This window comes from Homo sapiens, chromosome 4 (assembly GCF_000001405.40).
Source record: "Homo sapiens chromosome 4, GRCh38.p14 Primary Assembly".
NCBI lineage: Eukaryota > Metazoa > Chordata > Mammalia > Primates > Hominidae > Homo > Homo sapiens.
This window is the reverse complement of record NC_000004.12, coordinates 183,003,050-183,013,786: the sequence shown is the minus strand read 5'-3', so window position 1 is coordinate 183,013,786 and position 10,737 is coordinate 183,003,050.

Sequence of the window (10,737 nt, the reverse complement as noted above, 5' to 3'; positions counted from 1 at the left end):
GGAGGATTTCTCAGAAGGAATCAAAGGAGCTCAGCCCCCTTGGTGATCCCCACTTCCTGGGGAACGGGCCTTTTCCTGGCAGTACTGTGCTGCGACCCCGTGTGATCGGGAGAAGGGCAGGGCACTGTTCCTTCCCTGTGCCCCTCCCCTCTGCCATCAGTCTCCACCTCTCTGTATTTACCTGTCTGCCCTCTCGCCCCTAAACCTCTTTTCTGTCCCCATCTGGCTTCCCTCTCCATCGGTCAGTGAGCTCTGATTACGCTGCACTCCAGCCTGGGCGACAGAGTGAGACTTTGTCTCTAAAAAAGAAGAAGAAGAAGAAGGAGAAGGGGAAGGGGAAGGGGAAGGGGAAGGGGAAGGGGAAGGGGGGAAGGAGGAGGAGGAGGAGGAGAAGGAGGAGGAGAAGGAGGAGAAGAGGAAGAGAAGAGGAAGAGGAAGAAGAGGAGGAAGAGGAAGAGGAAGAAGAGGAGGAAGAGGAAGAAGAGGAGGAAGAGGAAGAGGAAGAAAAAACGAATGATGAAGGAAAGTGACAAGATTTCCGCTTCCAGAAACCCAAGTCTTGACTTTATCCACATGGAAGGTGTGGCTCAGAATGCACTTTTCTTGGTGCGCTTTTCTTCCTAGCTTAGGGCATTTCCTTCTATTTCGGGATCCGTGGGTAGGACAGGGGCTTGTGGGGGCCCCCCTGTCTTTCACTTGGCTGTTCAGATTCTGCCATCTTCAGGAGAGGATGGCCCTGCAAGTGGATTCAATTCAGTTTCTTGGCTGCGGAGGATGAAAAAGCAAGGAGGGTCTCAGGAACGGAGCGCAGCTGTTAGGAGCGGCTCACAAGGGAGGAGGAAGATGTTTTCTCTCAGATACCCGTCCCAGCCTGTCACTGCTCTGGGTATGGGACCTGGGGGGTCAGAGATACAAATGTGTCTAGGCAGCCAAAATGTCAAGCAATTACACTGTTCCAAGGGCGGAAGGTAAATGTGTATGCCACACACAAAATACAATTGTGCTGACGGCACTTGGAGAAATGAGTGGCTATCTTAGCCTAAGCCAGTTCTCAAAATAGGAATGCTCGCTTGCTGAGAATTGGAGGAAAACCACGAATTCACTTCAAGGTATAGCGCTTTGGCTTGCCGGAAAGTTGCTGTGAGTGGGCAAGGATGGGGGCATTAGGATTGGGGGCTTGGGGTTGGGGGCAGATCTGCTGAGAGAACTAATGACTTGAGTTGGAGTGAAAACAAGAATAAAAGACTTTGTATTCAATTTCCACTCCCTTGAAACACACTACCCTGTGGGAGCCATACATAATTAATGATATTACCATGCAACAGTAGGACTACAGAGATACACTAATATTGATGAATATTTTTTCATTTTTATTGCACTTTTCAAGTATGCCAAAAAACATTAAAAGTTCATAAAAGAAAATAACTTGGCTCCATCACGACTGATCTCATACCTGCAAATGAGTCCATGGTACCACAAGCTTACTAGCCATCTGCGCTTATTGGGACAGTCCCATTTTTCACTATTTGTGGTCCCAGATGTCTGGACGTTTCGGATAAACTCCTGGGTTTGAGTACTGGCTTTTACCAGAAGGAACAGAGTCATGGGAGACTAAATCCCATTTTATTCCAGAAATACTTTGAGGAAGGAAGAAGACATGGGTAAATAAGATGCTGACTTTGTCAGCTGATGAGTATTCATTAATATCAACCGATATTCATTGACCTCTTAAGCTTAAAATTTATCACTCAAATTGTAGCTAACATAGCGTGGACTACACAATAGCTGTGCTTTTGCTAGTTGGTGGTTCTACTGCTATAGCCAACCGTGCTGAATTTTTTTTTGCTCAGAAGCTGATGTATTTGGGAGGGAAATAGCTTTCTGGCCCTTTAATAAATAATTCTAGTTAGTCCTTTCCCATCCATCCCAAATCAATAGGAAGCACAGTCAAGAGGAACCCATCATCTGGTATTGAAAGGTAGATGTGCAGAAGTCCACCCATGTGTGATAGAGACAGAATACTCAGCAGATATTTCCCAGGCTCCCCTGCAGGCTCAGCCCCTGCAGAGGGGAAGTGGATAAGCCTCATTTCTGGACTGAAGTTGCACGTTGAATGGGTAAAGCCCGTGGTCATAAGCAAGCTGGTTCAATGACATGGAAGACACAGCTGCAGTCACTGGAACCGCGATGGACTTTGTGTGTGCTGGAAATGAACCTTCATGGCGCTAAGTCACTGAGTTTTCAGACTTTATCTGTTACCCTAACATATCACTGCCTACACACACTAGTAGACTGTTTATCTTTTTTCTAAAGCAAGAAAAACCACATATCAATAAACATTTACTGTGCCCCTATTATATGCAAGCGGACATAGCAGTGAACTCCCTCCCAGAAGAGCACTTTCTCCACGGAAGTCTCTGACTCATCGTTCACTGTTCCCATGGGTGACTGATGACATCCCAAACTCTGAAGGCTGGTGACAATCCAAGTCAGGAATATCTATCACCCACTACCCACATGTGTGGAGGAAGCATTGGCTCTGATGCCAGAAACTCAAATTAGCTTTTGATATTTAATGTCATTTAATCTTGTCTGTTTACTTATTTAAAATAACTGTGACTTTCTTAGTTTTCAGTATGCATTAAAGTACATTTTGTACTTGATGGAAGATTAGTGTCTCTTGAAACGTATCATGTGAAGGAATTTTAGACTCTTTTTCTTCCCCAGTTAGGCTGCCACCAAGCCCTGCTGCTTCCATCACAAACTTTCCAAAGCACTCTCATTCTTGCACCTTCCCCATCAATGGGCTAAATTCAAAAACAAACCCTGACTTTCGGGTATATAGAAAGGAGATGGTGGGCAGACCAGAGAAAGTTAGTCACCTTTTAAAATCTCATCTGAGAGGCTTACTTACTTCATAATTCTCTTGAGTGATGTACCTGAGGGAGTCTATTATACCTTCAGAAAGAAAGAAAATGCTTTCTATTTTGTTGCTAATCTTACCATGGAACCTTAAATAAAGAATAGTGAAATTTTATTAGGGAAGGAAAGTAGGGAGAAGAGGGTGATTAATATACTCAGTTTCTCAAGTGCAAAGAAATTTCAGCGAGCTGTAAAGTTTGAGTATGTGCGTAACTTTTTATTTCCCCTTGATGTATGATTAGGTTTACTACCTCTCGATAGTAACATTTACACACCAGCTATAGTAGCAACACATTTTACATTCGTTTGCAAATTAGTTTTCAATCCAGTATGTCTCTGGAAAGGGAAGTAAAATCTTGCTAAAGAATCCAAACTAGCTCTTGTAAACCAGAATATTATATTTCTGACAGAAACTAAAGGGAAGAGAGAGAGATGAGAACTCAATATGATGGATGCTTGTTGCTGTAATACAGATTTCATTACTGAATTCTCACTACAATCTGAAGATAGAAATGATTCCCATTTTATAGATGAGGATACTGAGCCTTAAGGGAATATGGGTATTTCCTAAATTTAGCCTGCTGGTCCTGCTAGGGGCAGGTGGAGCTGGCATGCTGACACAGCCTTTCTGACCCCAGAGTTAGTGTGTTTTTCCCATTCCGCCAGACTGGCCGCGGGAAGATGCCCCACCACAGCTCCGTCTTCAAGTCATGCCTATTCCAGCTGGCTCTCCAAAGGTGTTCGGGCATGCATTTTCAATGGGTGCGATATTGTCCCCAGTGGGGCAAAAATTGGTTCTTGAGAAGAGGCAGGAATCTTTCTCTTGCTGTAAAGCGCCAATATAGTACATAAACAGATATCCAGCATGCCTGTGCTATTAACATCTCATGGAGGGGGTGATTAGGAACAAAAGTGTCTAAGAAAGGCTGGTTATAGGGGTGCTAATGAAAACAAGGTTGAGAAACACTGGGCAAAGGGAAGAGGAGAGGCCCAGGAGACGTGAGCGGCTGTTCAGTGGGTTGTTGCATCTGCTGTGGGTCTGGGACCATAATGGGGGGATGACCTGGAGCCCCAGGTGCCTCGGGTTCTTTCTCATTCTTTCTGAACATGCAAGTTCAGAGAAGGCACAGACCACAGCCAATAAGTGGAATCTCTTGCTAGATCTTCATCCCGACCTTTTGTCCTCCAGCTCCTTAGAAACTTCACTGGTAGATTTATCTCACACACGGCAATGGCAAAAAGGCTTCAAGGAAAAGCACAGTAGCTCCTTTCCCTAAGCAGCTCGGGGACACCTGAAGTGGAAACACTTTCTAGAGCAAGGATTCAAAGACGCTTCCATCTATCCAATTCACAGATCCCCCAGGGACCCTATTGGTCTGGGACATGTGTGTTGTTCCCCAACTGCTCTCCTGTAATTGGCACCAAGGGTGGGGGAAGGTTGAAGGCTTTTTGGAAAACGAAGCTAATCATTAGGTCTACCTAAAGATTCCTCCACCAAAGTGGGATGTCAGGCTTTACTCCTGTGACCTCAGGGGTCTATCTTGTCACTCATACAGGGGACTGAGGAAGTGGCTGCAATAACTGAATTCTTTTGTGTGACTTCCCTGCCCTTCACAGAGCAGAACTTAAGAAAGGTATCCTCTGGAATAACGGCACCGCTCACCTCTCATTTTAAAATTACATCAGTGGTAGTCCTAGAAGCAGGTTTTTTTCTTTCTTTTTTTTTTTTTTTAAGCAAAAACCAGAAACTAAAGAACAGGGCTCCAATATCCTGTGTCTTCTCTGTGTTGTAACTGGCCATACCGTGTTTCCACTAACTTTTGTCTCCATTTTGAAGGAGGGAGAGGGCTGTTTAAGATTTTAAAATGTGGGATAGACGAAGAGCTATGTTAATGGTAGGAGGAAAACTATGCGTTTAGGTCACTCATTAACACACTTAAAAGAAAATGTTTCCAGTGACAATAAATAATTGGATTTCTTACGGGGGACACACAATACTTCAGATAACTCCTTTCCCCTTTATCTGGGTTTTTGATGCCTGGTAGGAGGGAGCTGGGGAGAGACGCTTCACAGTGGATGGAGGGAGATAAAAGGGAAGGATCTGACAGTTGCCATTACCACCGTGCCGTATCGTTTACCTCAGCCAGGAGTCACTAACGCACCAGGTCACCCCTGGGGTTGAGGGCAAGAGGAGGAGTTTACACAGCCACGTAGGGTAGCTGGCTGGCTGGGGGCATTCATCAAAGTGTGACAACAAACATGAGAAGATGTGTTCAGGCACAGAGATGAAGATAACGGGTGCTTTCCTTGCAATGCCGCAGCACTTTGGTGGAACAGGTGCTTTAATTTTGACATCAGCTTCTTCTGAGCTTTTGAGGAGCCACACAATTAAGGGTTTAGTGAAACAGGCTGTTTCTTTAGAATTGAGCTCTTCCTGAGAATGTACTCTTTCACTAACATGTCTTCCTCTGCACCGACTCCAAATCTGAGCTGGAAATCTTTCTTTTTTATTGTGGTGAAGTATATATAACATAAAATGTACCATTTTACTGATGTTTCCTTGTACCATTCAGTGGCATTAAGTACCTTTGCATTGTTGTGCAACTATCCCCACCATCCATGTCCAGAACTTTGTCATTAGCCCCCGTTAAACTCTGTAGCCATTGAATGCTAACTCCCTATTCCTGGCTCCTCTCAGCCCTGGGTGACCACTGTTCTATTTTCTATTTCTATGAATTTGACTATTTCCAGGAACCTTATAAAAGAGGAATTATACAACATTTGTCTTTTGTGTCTGGCTTATTTCACCTAGCATCACGTCTTCAAGGTTCATCCATGTTGTAGCATATATCAGATTTCATTTTCCCCTCACTTAAAAATTGTGCTAAAATACACATGCATAAAATTTACCATCTTACCATTTTTAAGTGTATAGTTCAGTGGCATTAAATATATTCATAATGTTATGCAACCATTACCACCATTCATCTCCATTACCACCATTCATCTCCATCACTTTTTCACGTTGTAAAACAGAAACTCCGTACCCATTAAATTCCCACATCTTCTCCTACCCCCAGCTCCTGACAACCCCCATTCTACTTTTGTGTCTATGACATTGATAGCTCTAAGTATTAATACATCCTATTGGTGGAATCGCACAGTATTTTTCTTTTTATGATTGACTTAATTTGGTTAGCATAGTGTCCTCAAGATTCATTTGTGTTGTAGCGTATGTCAGAATTTCCTTCCTTTGTAAGTCTGTGTGATATTCCATTGTATGTATATACTACATTTTGATTATTCATTCATCCATTCATCAGTGAACACTTGAGTTGCTTCCAAATTTTAGCTATTGTGAACAAGGCTGTTATGAACACGGGTGTGCAAATATCTCTTTGAGACTCTGCTTTCAATTCTTTCAGCACTCAGAAGAGAAATTGTTGGATCATATGGTAATCTATTCTTAATTTTTTGAGGAACTGCCATACTGTTTCCTACAAGGACTGCACCATTTTATATTCCCACCGACAATGCACATGGTTTCAATTTCTCCACATCTTCACCAACACTTGTTATTTTCTGTTTGTTTGATAGTAGCCCTCCTAATAGGTGTGAGGTGGTATCTTATAGTTGTTTTGATTTGTATTTTCTAAGGATTAGAGATGCTAAGCATTTTTTTAATGTACTTGTTGGCTATTTGTACATCTTCTTCAATGAAATGTCTATTTAAGTTTTTTGCATTTTTTTTTTTTTTTTTTTTTTTTTTTTTTTGTGGAGACAGGGTCTTGCTCTGTCACCCAGGCTGGAGTACACTGGCGCAATCTCAGCTCACTGCAACCTCCCCCTCCCAGGTTCAAGGGATTCTCCCACCTCAACCTCCTGAGTAGCTGGGATTACAGGCATGTGCCACCACACCCGGATAGTTTTTGTATTTTTAGTAGAGATGGTTTTCACCATGCTGGCCAGGCTGGTCTCGAACTCCTGGCCTCAAGTGATCCACCCACCTCAGCCTCCCAAAGTGCTGGGATTACAGGCATGAGCCACTGCACCTGGCCTTTTTTTTTTGCCTGCTTTTGAGGTGGTTTGTTTGTGTTTTTTAAATTGTTGTTGAGTTTCAGGAATTCTTTTATATCCTGGATATTAATCCTTTATCAGATATATGATTTGCAAACAATTTCTCCCATCCTGTGGGTTGCCTTTTTTACTGTCTTGTATAGATTTTTATGCATAAAAATTTAAAATTATTATGAAGTTCAATTTTTCTGTATTTTTTCTTTGGTTGCACATGTCTTTAATGTCATATCCAAGATATCACTGCCGAATTCAATGTCATGAAGCTTTTGCTCTATGTTTTCTTCTAAGATTTTAATAGTTTTAGGGCTTACATTTAGGTTTTTATCCATTTTGGGTTAATTTTTGCATATGGTGCTAGGTAAGGCTCCAGCTTCATTCTTTGCATATGACTGTCCAGTTTTCCCAGCACCATTTGTTGAAAAGACTATCTTTTCCCCATTGAGGGATCTTGGCACCTTTGTAAAATAATTATTTGAACATAAATGTGCAGGTTTGTTTCTGGGCTTCCTATTCAATTCCATTGGTCCATATTTCTGTCTTTATACCAATACTACACTGCTTTGATTATTGTAGCTTTGTATTAAGTTTTCAAATCAGGAAATGTGAGTCCTCCAGCTTTGTTCTTCTTTTTCAAGATTGTTTTGTCAGTTTGGGATCCCTTGAAATTTCATATGAATTTTAGGATGTGTTTTTCTATTTCTACAAAAAAATGGGATTTTGATAGAGATTGCATTGAGTCTATAGATTGCTTTGGATAGTGTTGCTATCTTAACAATATTAAATCTTTCAATTCATGAAAAAGGGATATGTTTCCATTTACTTATGCCTTTAAAAATTTCTTTCATCAATATTTTGTAGTTTTCATTGTACAAATCTTTTACCATGTTGGTGAAGTTGATTCTCAAGTATTTTATTCTTTTTGATGCTATTGTAAATATAATTCTTTTCATAATTTCCTTTTCAGATTGTTTGTTGTCAGTGTATAAAAATGCAACTGATTTTTGCATGTTGAAAAGTCAACATGCAAAAGACACAAAGGTGTCTTGCTACTTTGTTGAATTAATTGATTAGTTCAACTTTTTGTATGTGGAATCTTTAGGGTTTTCTACATATAAAATCATATCATCTGCAAAGATAATTTTACTTCTTCTTTTCCAACTTGGATGCCTTTTATTTATTTTTCTTGAATGATTGCTCTGAGTAGAACTTCCAGTATTATGATGAATAGAAGTGGAGAAAGTAGACATCTATGCTTTGTTTCTAACCTTAAAGGAATAGCTTTTAGTCTTTCACTATAAGTATGGTGTTCACTGTGGATTTTCATATGTAGCTTTTATTATTTGGAGGCACTTTTTCTCTATTCCAAGTCTGTAGAGTGTGTTTATCATTAACGGGTGTTAAATTATGTCAAATACATGTTCTACATCAATTGAGATGATCATGTGTTTTTTGTTATTCATTCTGTTAATATGGTTCATTACATTGATCATTTTTTTCCTCTGTCCCCTTCTTTTTTAAAATTTTTTAATTTTATTTTATTTTAAGTTCTGGGATGCATGTGCAGAACATACAGGTTTGTTACATAGGTAAATGTGTGCCATGGTGGTTTGCTGCACCTATCAACCCATCACCTAGGTGTTAAGCTCTGCATGCATTAGCTATTTATCCTGATGCTCTCCCTCCCCATGTGGCACTAAGAAGAATGTACATTCTGTTGTTTTGGGGTAGAGAGTTCTGTAGATATCTATCAGGTCCACTTGATCCAGAGCTGAGTTCAAGTCCTGAATATCCTTGTTAATTTTCTGTCTCAATGAACTAATATTGACAGTGGGGTGTTAAAGTCTAAAGTCTCCCCTTATTATTGTGTGGGAGTCTAAGTCTCTTTGTAGGTCTCTAAAAACTTGTTTTATGAATCTGGGTGCTCCTGTATTGGGTGCATATATATTTAGGATAGTGAGCTCTTCTTGTTGAATTGATTCCTTTACCATTATGTAATGTCCTTCTTTGTCTTTTTAAATATTTGTTGGTTTAAAGTCTGTTTTGTCAGAAACTAGAATTGCAACCCCTGCTTTTTTCTGCTTTCCATTTGCTTGATAAATTTTCCTGCATCCCTTTATTTTGAGCCTATGTGTGTCTTTGTATTTGAGATAGGTCTCTTGAATACAGCACACTGATGGGTCTTGACTCTATCCAATTTGCCAGTCTGTGTCTTTTAATTGGGACATTTAACCCATTTACATTTAAGGTTGATATTGTTATGTGTGAATTTGATCCTGTCATCATGATGCTAGTTGCTTATTTTGCACACTAGTTGATGCAGTTTCATCATGGTGTCATTCATCTTTGTACTTCAGTGTGTGTTTGTGTGTGTGTGTGTGTGTGTGTTTTGCAGTTGCAAGATTTAATAGAGTGAAAACAGAGCTCCCATACAAAGAGAGGGGACCCAAAGAGGGTAGCTGTTGACAGCTCGAATGCCTGGGTTTATATCCCGATCATTGTCCCTCCCGCTGTGCTCTCAGGCGATAGATGATTGGCTATTTCTCTACCTCCTGTTTTTGCCTAATTAGCATTTTAGTGAGCTCTCTTTACTACCTGATTGGTCGGGTGTGAGCTAAGTTGCAAGCCCCGTGTTTAAAGGTGGATGCAGTCACCTTCCCAGCTAGGCTTAGGGATTCTTAGTCAGCCTAGGAAATCCAGCTAGTCCTGTCTCTCAGTACCCCCTCTCAACAGGAAAACCCAAGTGCTGTTGGGGAGGTTGGCTGATGACCGCTCTAACTGCTTCCTGCTGAACTGGGGTGTAGTAGGGGTTGTGCAGTTGAGATGTCCTTGGGAGGGGTGCCTTCAATGTCATTAATATCAGAGCAAGGGCTAGCAGGCCAGTCCAGGTGTCCACGGCAGATCTTAGTCATGGACTGCATCTGGGGCTCCATTTGAAGAACGATTGGTAGTTTTACAGCTTTGATTCTGGAAGAGACAAACTTAACAAGGAGGTTAAAGATACAGGGATTAAAATGTATGGCCTGTAATGTAGGGGATTACTTCATTGGCACAATTCACAGGCCCTGACTATCTGCTTGATAGTTTTGAAAAGGCCTGATCCAGTAAATAATAATTTGGCCATCTGATGGGTGCTATCAATGCCTAAGTGAAAGGTTTGGTGAAGGGTTTTAAGTAATTTCCATTGGTTAGCTGCAGGCAAAAGTATTTTTCCCTCTTCGGTGGCTAGCCATCCTGAGGGGAGGAAACTATGTCCTCGTGAGGTTCCCCATTCTATTTCTTCTGCTGAATATTGGGGTTTTGTTTCCCAGAGGGGATTACCCCATACTAGGGGTCCTTCTGTAAGCATTTCTAATGGAGCATCCTGCCTTGTGGCTCTTTTTGCTTTAATATCTGCTTGGTGGTTCTCTTTTATTTCCCTTTCCTTTCTGATGACCCAGGCAGTGTAAGACTGCCACCTCTTTAGGTTTCTGTACAGCCAATACTAATTTCCTAATGGCTTCCTGATGTTTGATAGGTGTTTCCTCGGAAGTTAGGAATTCCCTTTCTCTCCATATTGCCACATGGGCATGGAGGACTAGGTAAGCATACTTAGAGTCTGTATATATATTTACCCTTTTTCCTTCTCCTAATTCTATTGCCTGAGTGAAGGCTATTAGTTCTGCCAGCTGAGCACTAGTTCCTAGAGTGAGGGGATTACTTTCAAGTATTCCATTATCACTGACCACTGCATACCCTGCT